Source organism: Homo sapiens, chromosome 20 (assembly GCF_000001405.40).
Source record: "Homo sapiens chromosome 20, GRCh38.p14 Primary Assembly".
NCBI classification, from domain to species: Eukaryota; Metazoa; Chordata; class Mammalia; order Primates; family Hominidae; genus Homo; species Homo sapiens.
In genome coordinates, this window is record NC_000020.11 from 19566844 (window position 1) to 19584230 (window position 17387).

Genomic DNA, 17387 nt, shown 5'->3' on the forward strand with positions numbered 1-17387 from the left:
TTCACTTTTTCAAAAATGAACTTTTTTAAAGACATAATAACACAGCCAACAAGCGCATGAAAAATGCTCAACATCACTACTCATTAGAGAAATGCAAATTCAAACCACAAGTAGATGCCATCTCACACCAGATAGAATGGCTATTATTAAAAAGTCAAAAAATAATAGTTGCTGACAAGGTTGAGGAGAAAAGAGAATGCTTATACATTGCTGCTGGGAATGTAAATTAGTTCAGCCACTGTGGAAAGCCATTTGGAGGTTTGTCAAGAACTTAAAATAGAACTTATCATTCGACCTAGCAATCCTATTACTGGGTATATACCCAATATATAGAATAGTTCACAAGTGGTCCAAAAGAATATAAATCGTTCTACCATAAAGACATTGCAGGCAGCACTATTCACAAAAGCAAAGACATGGAATCAACTTAAATGTCCATCAACAGTAGACTGGATTTTTTAAAATGTGGTACATATACACGATGGAATTCTACACAGCCATAAAAAAGAATGAGGTCATGTCCTTTGTAGCAACATAGATGGAGCTGGAGCAAATTAATAAACAGAAAGTCAAATACTGCATATTCTCACTTACAAGTGGGAGTTAAACACTGAGTACACATGGACACAAAGCTGGGAACAACAGACACTGGGACCTACTTGAGGGTAGGGGTGGGAGGAAGGTGAGGATTGAAAAACTACCTATCAGGTACTATGCTTATTATCTTGGTGACTAAATGGTCTGTACACCAAACTCCCACAACATTCAGTTTACCCATGTAACAAGCCTGCACATCTATCCCTGAAACCTAAAAGTTCAAAAGAAAAAATAAACTTTCTAACCAAATCCAAAACCATGTCTCAGTCACCATCTCTTGGCAGCAGAAAAATAGATATATTGACCATCACACACACATTAGAGTGGCTGAAAAAATAAATTGGAATACATCAAAAATTAAAACTTTTGTCCATCAAAGGACACAATCAATAGAGTGAAAAGGCAACTCACAGAATGGGAGAAAATATTTGCAAATCGTATATCTGATAAGGGGTTAATATCCAGAATATATAAAGAGCCCTTACAAGCCAACAACCAAAAAACAAACAGCTTGATTTCAAAATGGGCGAAGGACTTGAATAGACTTTTCTGCAAAAAAATGATATATAAATAGCCAATAAACATATACAAAGATGCTCAAAATCAGTAATCATTAGGAAAATGCAAATTAAAACCACAGTAAGATACCACTTCACACCTATTAGGATGACTACTATCAAAATATCAGAAAATAGCTGGTGTTGGCAAGGATGTGGAGAAATTGGAACCCATTTACACTATAGTTAGGAATGCAAAATGGTGCAGCTGCTGTGGAAAATAGTATGGCAGTTTCTCAAATGATTTAAAACAGAATTACATGTGAACCATCAATTCCACTTCTGGGTTTATACCCATAAGAATTGAAATCGGGGACTCAAAGAATATTGCATCATTCACAACAGCTAAAAGGTGGAAACAGACTGTCCGTAGACAGATAAATGGATAAGCACATTTGGTATAGACATATAATAGAATATTATTCAGCCTTATAAAGGAGGGAAATTCTAACACATGCTGCAACAGGGATGAACCTTGAATATATTATGCTAAGTGAAATAAGCCTGTCCCAAAAGAGGAAATATCATATGATTTTACTTGTATGAAGTACCTAGCACAGTCAAATTCATAGAAAGGAGAATGATGGTTACCAGAGACTAAGGAGAAGGGAAAATGGGGAGTTATTGTTTAATAAGGACAGAGTTTCAATCTGGGAAAATGAGAAAAGCTCTGAAGATGGATGGCGATGATGGTTTCATGGCATGAATGCACCACTGAACTGTAGATTTTAAAATTATTAAAATGGTAAATTATGTTATGCCTATTTTACCACAATAAAAATAGTTTAAAACATTTAATCCAAACTAATAGATATGTGGGAATATATACAATATTTGTATATGTTGATACATCCAATATATACTGTGTATATATGAACAGTGACTAAAATAGAGGGAGAGATAGATACAGAGAGACTTTTTTAATGATGCAGCCCCTCTCGGAGTTATTGGCCCTTCCAGTTCCCCAACTAGGTTTGCTTTCCTCTATCTTACTTAAGAAAACGAATACATAAGCTGACTTAGAAATGGAAATGGTTCACAAACCCCAGGAAGCAGTCCAGCTCAGGAACCCAAGAAAGAGTGGGTCAGGGAACCCTTGTGGGAGGTCAGACCTGTCCAGCGTAATGGGCCTGCCCTTCCCTGGCCAGCCCCCAGCACTTCTGGGAGGCACAAATCCACAGGGGATGTAAGATGCCATATCAGTGTTCTTCTGCTTCCTCCTCTTAACCCACTACTTGTATTTTTATGTTTCCTGTGTCCTGATGCTTTGCACGTACTTGTTTTGTACAATGATTTTATCATGTATGTACTTATTGAGGGCCTTAGTACATCGGCAGTGAGGGCAAGGAAGTGATAAAGGCCTGGTGTCTTCATGTTGAGTTAGACTTAAGGACTTGTTCATGTCCCTTTCCTCATCCTTCCACTCCTGTGGCCCTCCTGTCCCACTTGTGCCTCCCATTTCCTTTCCATCCTTTCCCAAGCTTCCTGGGAGGTTATTCTCTGCTCCAACCCCTCTCCCATTCTCCATTCTTCTCTGCCCTGCTCTGGACAGGGAGATCAGCCTCTAACGACCTTAGCCCCAGGGCTCCCACACCTCTAGCTTTCACCTCAACTGATGGGAAGCTGTGACAGGAGAGGGGAGGGCAGGAGGAGTGAGAGGCCCAGACACTTCTTTTTTGCTCCCTCCTGGCTCTCCAGGGTCTGGCGGCAGCTGCTTCCCTCCACTCCTGTGATCATCTACATGCTCTTAACCCCCTTCCCCACACTTACCAGGCTGCAGCAACTCCGTGTCCTCTTGCACCTTCAGGCCAAAGGTTCCCGTTGTTATTAGGCTCTGGGGGTCTCCACCATCTTTGCTGGTTCCCCTAACCCTGACTGCACTGCTGCAAATAAGTCCTTCATTAAATTCTCTTCAGTTAGAAAAGAGTTCTCTTTGGTCAAACCCTTTTGAGTTGGCTTCTGCTTTCTGCCCAGACCCTGACAGGTACATTAGACCTCCCCACTATTCTGGATGTATTTATCTGTTCTCACACTGCTGTAAAGACCTACCTGTCACTGGGAAATTTATTAAGAAAGGGGGTTTAATTGGCTCACAGTTCTGTGAGTTGTACAAGCTTCTGCTTCTGGGGAGACCTCAGGAAACTTACAATCATGGCAGAAGGTGAAGGGGAAGCAGGCACATCTTCACATGGCCAGGAGGAGAGAGAGCAGGGGGAAGTGCTACACACTTTTTAACAAGCAGATCTTGGGAGAACTCTATCAGAAGAATAGCATCGGAGATGTCTGCCCCTATGATTAAATCACCTCCCACCAGGCCCCTCCTCCAACACTCAGGATCACACTTCAACATGAGATCTGGGTGGGGACACAGAGCCAAACCATATCACTGACCCCTTCTCAAGGAGTTTTATGGAAGCAGACCAGGAAATGTACAAGAATACCCCCCTGTGTGTTCCCATGCAGCACCTGGTACTGGTTAGAAATGGAGATCCCTGGGCCCCAACCCAGATTGCTAAATAGATCTTCTGGAGTGATGCTAGGGACCCCCATTTTATCTGCATTTTCTGGTGACTCTGGGATACATAAAGTGATATAGTAACATAGGATACTTTGTTAATACATTGGATAGAAGGTCTAGCGTTAGGTCTCATAGCTACTTATTTTTGAAGTAATGATGAACACAAATGATAGTTTGAGGTCTGTGAAACATGAGTAATATGATATGAAAGATCTGTGACTTCTGCTGGGGACATATTCCCAGGTTTTGCCAGTATTACTGTGGCATATTGCCTGTATTCATAGTGGAAGGAAGTGCTGAATTCCAATTAGAGGTTAGTGAGAACAAGGATGTAATTTGTTTGCATCCTTAGCAAACTCACGAATTCTTTTTGAGTGCTCTTTGGAGGATAGAGGGGCTTATGGACCCCAGGATAAGAGCCTCAGTCTTAAGAGAGGTCTCCATAGAAGGGGATTTGAGGCCTGGTAGAGGTTAGAGCTGTAGACGTTCCTCAAGTAGAAAGCAGGCTTGTCCTCTTCCTGGAATGCTGTGTGGTGTGGTGTGGTGTGGTGGTCAGGATTTGAACCCAGTGGGTCACCTGGGTTCAAATCCTGCCTCTATCACTTACAAGTCATGTGGCCTGAGCTGCTGGACTTCTCTGTGCCCCAGGTTCCCACCTGTGAGGCTGGATGAGGTCCATTGTCCCCTACTGCAGGTGGGGAGGTAAATGGAGAAGGTGTGTACTGGAATCTCAGTATAGCCCTGTAGGGAGCACATCAGCATCAGCCCAGCTGCACAAACCTTGTTCCCAGAGCCTTCATTCAGAGGGTTTCAAGGGGAATCAGCAATGATCACCTGAGAAACTGACAACCAAAAGAAATAAATGACTTCCTCAGTAACACAGGAGTCAATATCTCAGCAAGTGGATATTGTGAAAAAGGCATCTTCAAGGAGGAAGAGGGAGAGAGAGGAGAAAAAGAAGGAGAACAAAGGGGGGAAAGTAGAATAATCTTTTCCTGCTGAAAAATTTCTCCAGAGATGGCAAATCTCTCATTCCCAAGGCTCCAAAACAGGGACCCCAGTATGGTGACCTTCAAGAACACTAAATGGTCAAGGACACATCTGGGCACCTTTAAACTCCTTTAAAGTAAAATCATTCAAGGATTTATGTTAATGGTGCAGGTACATTCACATATGCTCGTTTCCCTTGGAATCTGAGCCCCTGCAAGAAAACTATTTCAGCTGGTAATGGCTCCCAAAGACTTTCCCAATGCCAAATGACTAAATAACCATAGGGTGGGACTCAGGAGAGGCTCCCATGTACCTTAGGAAGGCAGTTGTTTCTGAGAGTGGCCCATTTTGATTTAAAATTGTATTTCATTCCCTTCACAATCTTCCTTAACTCACTCCCCTCTTGTTTTAATGTGGGCTCTCTCAGAAGCAGACCTTGAGACAAGGATTTAAATGTAAGTGATATTGGAGAAGAGGAAGAAAACATCAGTAGGGGAATAGAAAGTGAGACAGGAAAGTCAAAGCTACTAATAAAAGGTACATGACCTGAGCCAGGTGCAGTGGCTCACACCTGTAATCCCAGCAACTCAGAAGGCTGAGAGGGGAGGATCGCTTGAGTCCAGGAATTCAACACCAGCCTTGGCAACATAGGGAGGAGCCCCCTCCCCCTCTAAAAATGTTACGTAAAAAAACTAGCAAGGCACAGTGGGCATGCCTGTAGCCCTAGCTACTCAGGTGGCTGAAGTGGGAGGATCCCTTGAGCTGAGAAGTTTGAGGCTACAGTGAGTTATGATCATGCCACTGAACTCCAGTCTGGGCAACAGAGCATGACCCCATCTCTAAAAGAAGAAAAAAAGAAAAAAACAGGTCCATAACCAAGCCAGCAATGCAACATAATATTCTGGGCACCTGAAGCTTAATTCAGCTGGGAAACTCTGGAGACAGCCTAGAGTTAGCCCACTCAGGGGTACTGATATGCCAACTCTCAACATTTGAGGGCTCCCATGGGTGTTAATTTTCAAGCATTTCTTGACTTCTTTGTGTGGTAAAATCAAAAGCCTTCAAAGAAATTGAGGCATTCGCTGGTATTTGAAAGTCAACGGAGCTCTCTAAATTAATAAGGCCTGAAGAATATAGTGAAGGGAAGGGGCACCAGCAGCCTTCTGCTACATTCCTCTTCCCTGCAAACCCCCACCCCAAATCCTCTTGTTCAGAACCTGGACTGTGAGACTGATCATTTCTCTCTAGTGACTAGAATCAATGAATGGTTCCAGAACAATGATATTCACACTGGTAGCAGCACCCTACAGCAGACCCATGGTCAGTTCCACCTTGTCCTCATGGGGCTATTAGATACAGAGCCTGTGATCAGGGAAAATAAATTTAAAAAAAAACTTTTATATTCCAAGCTTAATTATATGTGATCACTTGAAACTATGAAAAAGAGGAGGAAAAGGAAGATTTTATTATTATTATTCCAGCCGTGTTCCCTGGGAGGTTTAAGATTTAGAACAATTTCCACCAAGGCCACAGTTCTGTAGCACTTCCCTAAGAATTGCTTCTCCACAACACCTTCACTGAAATTAAAGACAGAGAGACAGGAGTGCAGATGATGTAGTAAAAAGAAATTGTCTGTGAAAACCGCTGACTGTCGATGCAACATAAAACAGCAGGGTTAACGTCCTGCCATTCAAATACATTTGCCCTCAGTATTCAGAAGCCCTTATGTGGATCAACATTCCAGCTAGAGCCTGCTCACCTCTAATATGTCATGGGCCATGATGATTTCCTGTTATCTTAGGTGTTTTTCCATTTAACCACTGTAGACAAAGTTCTTTAGTTTTATTAGTCTCAATCAACCTTTGAAATTACCTGATGAGATAGTAATTATTTCTCAGAATCCTGGGTCAATAGCCACTTCCTCAATCTTCTCCTTGCACTACCTCTACCCAGCACAGTATCTTCTGTGGCTCACATCAGTTAGGGAAGCACATGGCTTCAAGTACAGAGCCCCCAGCTAATGGTGAGTGAAGCAAGTAAGGAAGTCCTTTCCTCACATAGTTAGAAATACAGAAGGAGCTGATTTCAGGAATTAGTCCAGATGGTGCATGGTGTCCTCAGGGCCCTGCTGCCCTCAGCATGTTGGTGTGTATCCTCAGGCTTATTATCTCATAGTCATAAATGGCTGCTGCCATTCCAGACATCACATCCAAGTTGCACGCCGGAAGATAGGGTGACTTTAGCTGGATTTGTGCTTTCTTCTCATTGGCCAAAACTGTGTCACATGGCCATGACTAGATCCAAGAAGGCCAGAAGAGTTGAGCATATTATTACTTAGAACAAGATTGAAGTTGTGTTTGCAAAATAAAAGGTTTAATGACTAATGAATAGGCCACCAACAGCATCTGCCACATTACAGAACTCTGTCCTAAGATCTCCACACTGAGTTAAGGTGAACCTCTTACGTTGGGTACTTCCAACTGGACCTCAGGCCATTCTTCTTTGTTGAAGGACAGTAACTTATTAAGTCTTAGACCCTTCCCACCAAGCAGCGCATCTGGCTTTGAGTTGGTGCTGCACACATTATTGTTGAATTAATAAATAAATAACTCTTCAAATCCTAAGGCAGGCGTGTCTCAGAATAGAATCATCATTTTCCTTGGTGGCCTCTGAATAGTGCATGCTTTAAACATATAAATGTGATTTCAGCTGAGTGGAGCTATCCCTGGAAGTTTACTTTGTCATTTAGTTTGTTAGGAATGTTTCAAGTCTGCTTCTTGGAAGTTACTCGTTATTGTTTTTTCACTGTGGCTCTTTTTATTATCTGGGCTGTATCTGTTACCTGTACATCAAAGGACACTATCAACATACTGACTGCCACAATAATGCTGCATAACAAATGGCCTCACAACTTCAGTGACATACAATAAACAATTCATTGGTTCATGGGTTTTTCTGGTTCAGCTGAACTGTTGAACTTGAACTGGGCTGGGCCTGTCTCAGTTGGGCTCACCCACATCTAGGGGTTAGCTGCTTGCCAGCTAATCTCTGACAGCCTTAGCCAGGACAACTGAGGTGACCTGTCTGTACCCTGCATGTCTCTTTTCCTCCAGCAGGCTAGCTTGGGCATGTTCTCATGGCATCATTATTGTTGCCACAACAATGGCAGTGCATGAGGGGCTGCGCTATGTCTAAGCTCCTTTGCTCATTGCTTTTCATTTACTTCTCACAACAGCCTTGTAAGCACTAGGGAGCATGCTGTGACGAGGCCCATGTTGAAGGGTAAGCAAAGTAAGAAGAGTCACACAAAGTCACACAGCTTGGAAGTGTCAAGTCTAGGACCTGATGGGAGATCCCATACCATGCCCTGGGCTTCCTCCAAGGCTCCAGGCTTTGTTGCTTTTAGCAGCTGCTTGTGCCCTGTCCCTGCTACTTGGGCATTTCCCTTGCTAGATTACACCAGGCCAGCTGCGGTGGCTCACAGCTGCAATCCCAGCACTTTGGGAGGCCCAAGTGGGTAGATCACTTGAGCTCAGGAGTTTGAGACCAGCCTGGGCAACATGGTGAAACTCTGACTCTAAAAAAAATACAAAAAAAAATGAAGGGCGTGGTGGCACACATCTGTAGTCCCAGCTACTCAGGCAGCTAAGGTAGGAGGATTTCTTGAGTCTGGTGGAACAAAGCTGCAGTGAACTATGAGTGCACTGCATCACTATACTCCAGCCTGGGTGACAGAGTGAGACACTCTCAAAAAAAAAAAAAAAAAAAAAAAGGCAACACCAGCTACTCCACGAACACCACCCTCCTTGGGATCCATCACTTCATATATAGAGAGCCCATGCTTGGGAGGGGTGGATATTAATATGTGAGGACACAGCTGCTGCCCTCAATAGAAGGGAGGCCAGATACATGAACATAAAGCAAAAGGGAGGCCAGAGACATGAACATAAAACACGGCTCATGGTCCAGGCTACACATGATCAAGGCCAAAGCAGATTCCCACTCAGAGGGTTCTAAAAAGTTCCCTGGGAAGAGAAGCCTTGTGATCATGAGACTAAAGCTGAAATTCCAAAAGACCACCCATCTTCTCTAAATGCCTATCATTCATCGTTTCCAGAAGGCACTCCACATTCACTTGTACCGGCTGCTGTAGCCAAGCCATGGGCTTGGATTCCAGGGTGAGTTACAGCATATCTGGGCTGCCTCAGGGTGTTGGGCCAGCCCAAGCATTTTCAGGAGTTCAAACCTGTCTCATATTTTGTAGTGCATCTGGTAAAAATAATAATATTGATAAAGAACTTCAACGGCTCTGACAGGCAGCCCCAAAAAGTGGATGGCTGGAATTCTAAAAATATCCCTCACTGTCTGCAGTTGGAGAAGACAGCTCACTAGTAGATGAGCTGAACATCAGAAAAAGTGGAGATGGGGTGGTGAACCAGAAATGATCTTTATACAGGGAGATAGCTGGGCTCTGTGGGAAGGCTTGGAGGGAGTCCTGGGGTCAAATTTAAGCCCTGCCATTTGCTAGCCATGTGTACTTGGGTAAGTTCCCACACCCTCTGCATTGTCTGGGAAATGGGACCAGTAACTCCCTGCCTCATATAATATTTAGAAGAACTGAGGAAGTCCAGGTAATATACCTGGAGCATGCCTGGAATTCCTGTCTCAACAAACAGTGGCAAATGTGATTATTATTATTATTGTCAATGATATTAATATATCCTTTGAAAACATAAGAATGGTCAAAGTAACCTAAAGATGCCTTACTCTATTAAAACTATTTGTGCTAGTTGTATTAATAGTACCATCAATGTCACACTCCCAGTAGGTTTTCTGCATCCTAAAATTTGACTTTGAACCTTTGTTTTCTTCCTTTGTTCTCTTTGCTTGTGCTGCAGGAACCTGTTTTCCAGTGAGTAACATGAGAGAGACTTAGAGCAGAGTGTTTTGTAGCCAGAGTGGCAGGCCCACCGTCAGGTGCCAGGAAGGGCTCTGCAGCTGGAGAAGGGCTCATCACCTCGCAGGCCTCTCTGGGTGCCCAGAGGTGCTATGTCAAAGGGTATCTGGTTAACAGTGAGCATCCCCGCCTCATGCTGCCCAGCTCACGAGAACTAACACAGCTTTTGATAGTCATTACCCTCAAAAGTCCTGAGTGCTTGGCAGATCTCATTTCTCATCCCCCTCGAAGCGTGGATACAACAGTGTGTTAGATGGAGCTTCTTGCCACAAAACCAGATCAATATGTAATACTGGAACATATTCTTGGTGAGATGGTTTATGGACTTCTAGGCAGTGTTGGCTGTTTCAGTGAGTTGAATATGTCAGCTATGGAACAGCTTATTTAGATCTTGATTAATCTACAAATGTGCAATTCTGTATCCCAATTACCTAATGTGAGTGTCCTTTCAAAGCTAATCCTAAAACCTGCATATCATTGGATCAGCCAAGTCATACAGCAAAAGAGGGTTTGAGTCCATTGCAATTTGGGAATGTATTTTCTGATTTATTCCCAGGCTACAAAGTACAGCAAGAATTATTCTTAATTGACATTTTCTTTTTATTTTTTTGAGACAGAGTCTCACTCTGTCGCCGAGGCTGGAGTGCAGTGGCGCGATCTCGGCTCATGGCAAGCTCCCCCTCCCAGGTTCATGCCATTCTCCTGCCTCAGCCTCCTGAGTAGCCGGGAGTACAGGAGCCCACCACCACGCGCAGCTAATTTTTTTGTATTTTTAGTAGAGATGGGGTTTCACCATGTTAGCCAGGATGGTCTCAATCTCATGACCTTGTGATCTGCCCGCCTCGGCCTCCCAAAGTGCTGGGATTACAGGCATGAGCCACCGTGCCCGTTAATCGACATTTTTAATAAAAAGCCCATTGGCAAATAATTTTGTACAGATTATGAATAGATCTATCAATGAGTTATTTTTGAGATTTTTTTCCATGCCAAGCATCCCAGGCTCCTCAGAAATTAGTGAAGTATAAGACAGAATTCTTACCTCTAAAATCTCCCATCACCTACAAAAGTTACACAAGAAATACTATTTCAGAGTGAAAATATTACAAAATATAGTTATGGATTATAAAATACAGATAGAGTCACACCAACTGAGAGAGAAATGTAGCCACTATTTTGATTAATGGCCTTACAAACTCTTATATGCAAATATATAATATGTGTATATACACATATACATAGATTATTTAATAAAAAAAGACATTGTAATGCTGTTTTTCATTTAGCAATGTATTATGAATGCCTTTCCTTATCACTTCATATTGGATTTACACAATCCCTTTTAAGGGCGTCTTATTGAATGATGAACCACAGTTTATATAACCCATTCCCCAAGGTATATTTTGCTAGGTTTGATAACTTATTGTAGTCAGCAATTTTGGAATGAAAATACTAGTGCATATGTCTTTATGCATTTGTCTGATATTTCCACAGGATCTAGTGTTAAAGTATACTTTAGAATCTTACGATCTTATGGAAGAGACCAAACATATATGTGAAAAGCAAACAAGCTCATACAAAGCAGGGACCCTGGGGCTACGTTAGTGCAACTGCTAAGGGTCAAAGGCAACAGAGATCATTTCATGCTTGGGTTGCCACAGAGGCTTCATGAAGGACAGTTGCAAGTGACAGAAACTTAAAACTGCTTAAGTGTAAAAGGCCTATTATTGGCTCATGAAATTAGAAAGTGATTTTGATTTTAGACTGGAGCCGGGGCCAGGGGTCACATGGTGTCATTTGGGACGTGTGTGTGTGTGTGTGCATACATGCTTGCGTGTGTGTGCCTGTGGGTGTACTTTTCGTGTATGCATGCGTGTGTGTGTGCATGTGTGTGTGTGCGTGTGCCTGTCCCATCTCTTGGGTCGGCTTCTCACTGTGGGAGCAGCATTCTTCTCAGGCAAGTTTTCTCTATATGACAGCTGCCTCTAGCAGCTCCAGATGTGGGGTGTTTATATCCATAAAAAGAGGGTGTCTCTGCCTCAGCTTCTCCACTTATCTCTGCTTGGCCCCTTACAGACCTGTCCCTGACTCTCCACTGTGTGACAGGGCATGGATGTTCTATGGCTATACTGGGTCATGTGTGTGCGCCCTGTGTGAGGAGGAGGGGATGTACGACTCCCATCCTGAGGAGCACTTCTCAAAAGGAAAAGATACTGGGAGGTCAATAAATGAATGCAATGTCACTGCTGAGGGTGCTAGAACTTGAACCACACCTATTAGATGCTTTGAGAAGCAAGTAACAGAGACATTCTAAATCAAACTGGCCTCAACAATGCTCATGGTATGTTATGAAGTCAAGAGGCAGGGTGGACACCTGATCAAGGGCTCAGTGATGTTATCCGGGGGCTTAGGTTTTTTCTGATTCAGGGTCAACTTCCTCTCAAGTCAGATTCCTTCAATATGACTGTCAGTGGCAATGAGGGCTCCCAGCTTCCTGGTCCACAGCAAGCAACAGAGGGTGAGAAATGGCTCCCTTTGGCAAAAAGTAAAAGCCTTTCCTGCTCTCTAATTGGGCCAACCTAGGTCATGTGCTCACCTCTGAAACAATGGCCACAGCTAAGGAATACTACATACTGATTGACCAATCAGCATCCACTCCTGGAGAAAAGGATAGGGTCACCTTCCACATGGGGCATGGTGGATATTTGGACAAAACTGGGGTCTCCTTAGGAAAGAGTGGGAGAAGGATGTTGAGTGGTCAGTCAACACTGAAATCCTAGTAAGATTTCATTAGTTGGAGAGGAAACATGCGGTTGGATACAGTGGAGAGGCAATTTCTGGCCAGAAGGTAGAATTCCAGGGAATACCCTGGTCATAGCTGACCAAGATGCAGAAGCAAGTTTGCAAAGCTTTCCTGCAGGGATCCAGTGAGTAAACAGGTTCAGTTGGAAGTGTTCATTTATTTATTCCCTCATTCCACATACCTTTATGGAGTACCTACTATATACCAGGCCCTGTGCTGACTGCTGCGGATATGGCAATCATTATATGAAATTAATTATATGACATCATATCCTCATGAACTTCTGGTGGAGGAGACAGACAATAGATGAATTAATTTAACATATAATGTATCAGGAAAAACCAAAGAGATAAATGACATAGAGAGAAATGGGAGCGGGGGAAAGAGGTTGCCATTTGAGCAGGGACCTGAAGGGTGTGATGGCGTGAGCCAGTGGGATATCTTGGGGCAGAGTGTTCAGGGCAGAGGGAAGAACAAGTGCAAAGGCCCTGAGACAGGAATCCATGACATGTTTCATGGAAAGGGAAGTGGGCAAAAGGAGAGTGACAGGTGATAACATCAGAGAGAAAGCTGGGACCAGGTCACAGGAGAGTGTTGTGGGCATTGGAAAGACTTGGTATTTAAGGTGTTGAATTCATGATGACAGAAGACATTATCAAAGCAGAAGGTGGCTGGACGTTCATCTTCCTGGCTCTGCCTCACTCTAACTTTAACCCCTTTTATCTCCTCTCTTCCAGGCCATATACATGTTCTATGCGCTGGCCATTGTGTGTGATGACTTCTTCGTCCCTTCCTTGGAAAAGATCTGTGAGGTACGTGCCTCACATTCTTGGTATGTGTGAGCCAGACTGGGGACTGGACCTGTGCCCTGTACTGTTCCAGCCTCCTCACCAAAGTCCTGGGGAGCCCTCGCAGGGCAGCTGCAGCGGGAACACCAGGCATCACCATGTTTGAGAGCAATGGGCAATATTAGCACAAAAGTGTCATCGGTCTACTGAGCATTTCATGACTCTGATCAATAATCAGACGAAAACCCACAGGACCAACCTCCCCAACTCCATTTAGACCTAACTAATGGTACTATTTGTGTTTTCCTTCCCCATTTTCTTTTCCTTTTAAACTCACTCTTCCTTTCTGTTACTTCCTCCACCTCTCTCTCCTGTGTTTCCTTCTGCCTCCATAACTCTCCTTTGATATCCATGGCATCCTCGCAGGATTAAAAACCTCCAACCGCATACCTCTGCCATGCTTCCTCTCTCTGTATATGTACAGAAATGCTCCAAGCGGAAGCACTGAGATGAAAGAATTGGCCACGGAGATCAGGAAAGTGTCCCTGTTAGAAATCATCATAGTGCATGCCAGGCTGAACAGCAAGTTAAACCCCTTTCATCAAAAAATATTCAGCAGATCTAGAACTCTTTCATTCTCTTGCCTCTTTCATCTCTGTCTGTTTGGAAATGTAGCTTCCTTTATCTGAAAGCTTTCCATTTTATTTATTTATTTATATTTATCGGTTTATATTTTAATTCAGAATCCCTGTTTCCAGAAGGCATCTCCCCCAGACACATCTGTCGAGAACTCGGTTTCTTTATGCCAGTAGTTCTCAAAACTGGTTGTGTCTTCCCTTTCCTTCTCTCTCCCCTGAGTACCTGATCCAGTAGGTCTTGGGAGAGTGGGAGGGGGTAGAATTTGCATTTCTAATACGTTTTTCAGGTGATGCTGAGGCTGCTGCCTAGTCCAGGAACCACAGACTTAGAGAACCACATACCCTAAGCAGTGTCTTCTACATCCTGGAAGTTAGTGTTGGATACTTAAATAAATAAAAAGTGTCCCACAATAACAATATTTAGAGAGCCACAGGAGGTGTTCTCTTCCACAGTAGCACAGAGTAATTGAGGTGGCATCTGAAATGCACAGTGGGCAGGTGTGGAAGCCCTTTGTCTGAGGAATTCCACCTGAGAGTGGGGTCACCTTATGTCGAAGGGGAGGAGGTGTTCCTCACCTGTAACTGGAGTCCTCTGTGATCTCTGAAATACCACTATTGGGTGTTTTATTATTCATGCAGAGCAAAACAACTCTCTCTCTTTCCCATGCAATTTTTTTGGTGTGAATATCAAAATTATATTCTGGAAATGTCAGTACAGTTGTCAGCATGTGTTCTACTCAGTTGAGGACACAGAACCTGTGAATACCCATGCCCTTGTAGGGAGAGGCAATCAAAGAGCCAGAAAATGGCAGGAAAAGAGGGCAGGTGTGAGTCTTTTAACAAAAAAGTTATAAGGAGAGGAAAAGGAAAGAAAATGTTTAAGGAGGGTGAGGTGTTATTTTACTAGGTCCCTGATATGGTTCAGTCGCTAAACAGTGTGGTGTGACTATGTCTACCTGTCTTTAATCATCTCAAGAATTCTGCCAGGTGACTGATATTATCCCCTCTTTACAAACAAGGAAACCAGAGCTTAGAGAAGCTGAGCAACTTGCCCTGGGTCAAGGGATAGAGTCACTATTTGAGCCCAAGTCAGCCTGATTTCCAAGTCTTCAGGCTTTTCTCTACTCCATCCAGAGACGAGCCTGGACCAGGTCATGGTGGTGTTAGAACTGGCTGCACTGCCCAGACCCACAGCGATACTGGAGGAGTGGGCACAGAAGAGCAACCACATTTTCCTGGGCTCTCCCTGCTCCCACCCCAAATCTGGTCTTATAAGCAAGATTCATATAACAAGAGTGGGTGCCCCGTGCCTGTCTCCTGGAAAGACAATGTTGGCTCCATGGACCTTAAACAACCTTAATTGCTGGGGAAACATTATGTCTGTGAATGATGGGTGGGCTGAGGTCAGAGCTCACATATATTTAGAGATCCTGACATGTTTACATCTTCTAAGAGACGTGGAATCAGTTCTCCCTGGAGTTACACTTTCTCACAAGATGAGAGGATCATGACGTGGGTCCACCAGCAGTGGCCTGGAGGGCCTCTCGGCCCTGGATTCTGTTTACTGCCTGTGCTTTCCTTAATCACCTTTTAATGATTCGATACTCTGTGTTTCATGGTTACTCGTAGACTAAAACTGGGAGTGGGGCAGAAAAACACAGAAGGTTGTCGTTTCCAGCTTTTGTGAAAGATGAGTGGGGAGAGAAATCCACACTGTGCAACGAATCATTGCTTGGAGGTCAGGGCAGATTCTCGCTCAGTCTCAAATACTTTAAAGTTAAAAGCAGAAAAATGTGGGGTTCAGGAAAAGGCAAAGAAAAGAAAATGGGAGAAAGAGAAGGAGATAAAGGCAATGATCCAGGATCCGAAACTGGGGTCAGGCAGGCCCTGGTGCTTACAAAGCACCTGCTCCATGCCAGCCCCTTCCCCTGTCTGGACCTTACTTTCTCCTTGTGTGAAATGACAGCCCCTAGATTTTGAACAGTCCAGAGATACCATTGCAGAACGTGCAGAGAGGGTCTCCAGAGTTTAGAGAAATCCTATAAGCCACAGTAGACAGCCTCAGCTGCACTGAGGCGGGAAGGGAGAGAGGCATTTCAGGAAGAAGAGTGAACATGAACCAAAGCGCAGCGAGTGGAAGGGCCTGGCATCCCCAAGGACCATGAGGTGGCAGGCCTGGCCGAGCAGAGGCTTGTCTAGGAAAGGTGAAGTCGGATGGGGAGGGTGGGAGGCTTTGGGACCCATGTGGAGGCTTCCAGGACAGCAGTGGGACATTTGAGCAGCGGAGGATGTGACAATAGGTCTGGAACACTACTCACCCCTCTGACGTCAGCACTAAGCTGGGCTCTGCCTGGACCAAGCTCTATGCCAGGGGCTGGGAGGAAACTAGATCACACACAGCATGTCCCATCCCATCCCAGGGCTCCTAGCTGCAGAGCAGCTCCAGGGTAATATCCACAGGGGGCTGGAGGAAGTGGCGGGGAATTGGCAAGTGCAGAAGTGCAGAGAGAGAGTGGGGGAAGGAGAGATTGACGCTGCGAGGGACAGAGTTGGGAGGAGATCAGGAAAGGGCTTGTGCAAGGGGCAGGATTAGAACAGCCCTTAGAGGGAAGGTGTCAGTGGCCAAGTATTTTGAGGAAGGGTATTTGGTGAGAGAATGTGTGAGCCGCAAAACCAAGATGGGGTTTTGCACCAGCATACAGGGAGCCCTGCAAGCCAGGCTGGGCGTTAGGAATTATTCCAAGCTCTGGAGGGAGCTGGGGAGGGCTTTTCAGGGCTCTGTCATGGTAGATAGGAGTCCAGAGTCAAGAAGACTAGAGTCCTGTGAGATATTGCCAGGGCTGAAGTGAACTGGGGATGATGGAGGGGTATAAGAAGATACAGAGGAAGAAACAAACTGGCTGGATGAAGGAGAGAGGGGAAACGGACATGAACCCAAGGTTTGGATGCCACAACTAATACCCCAGCAGGACAGAACCACAGCAACACATGGCTCCCGCCTCCTGGCAGGTCTCGGCAAACCATACAGGGAGCTGCGAGCTGTGTCAGGCTACCTCACTCACAGACTCTTAGCTCCATGGGACAGGAGTGCTTGGGCACCCCTCACAGCCACACCTTGCAACTTTGCGCTATCTGCGCCTCCATCTTAGGATCTGCTCGGCATCCCATGTGAAGCTTCGCTGTCCAGCCGACAGCGAAGCGACCCAGGATCCTAGATCAAAATCCTCAGTTAGGGCTTCTCCTGCAGACTATTGTGGGTCACTCAATGGAGGCCAGTGACCTACATCAGGGCCACACCGCCCCTCTCTGGCTGAGCAAGGAAGTGCAGCTGTAGGTGCCACTGGGAAGAGAAGGATGTCACTCAAGCTTGACTGCCAGGAGGGAACTGGCTATTCACTGGCAGCCAGCAGCATACTTTCTGGGTCATGACTGAATGCAGAAATGCAAAATCTGGTTACCAGCCTCTAATGTATAATTGCCTTGTCTTCTTGTAAATCACCTTTTGGTTTAACAAACAGAGTAACCTGGAGAGCTCATTGTAT

The 17387-nt window shown here is 44.6% G+C and overlaps 1 protein-coding gene across 1 annotated transcript in view, besides 1 other annotated feature; it reads left to right on the forward strand.

The window, feature by feature from the left end:
• The window catches only part of SLC24A3 (solute carrier family 24 member 3), a 510285-nt gene that overhangs the window by 354202 nt on the left and 138696 nt on the right, over nucleotides 1-17387 (forward strand). The window contains exon 4 of the mRNA NM_020689.4: nucleotides 13157-13231. Coding sequence (NP_065740.2) covers nucleotides 13157-13231 — 75 coding nt within the window. The remainder of the gene's footprint in view (nucleotides 1-13156; nucleotides 13232-17387) is intronic.
• Nucleotides 16432-16933: an enhancer, noted in NCBI's record as "H3K4me1 hESC enhancer chr20:19563919-19564420 (GRCh37/hg19 assembly coordinates)". NCBI's record gives its function as "activates a minimal SCP1, AML or CMV promoter by ChIP-STARR-seq in naive H9 embryonic stem cells {active_cell/tissue: H9 hESC(naive)}" and the evidence as "EXISTENCE:reporter gene assay evidence [ECO:0000049][PMID:30033119]".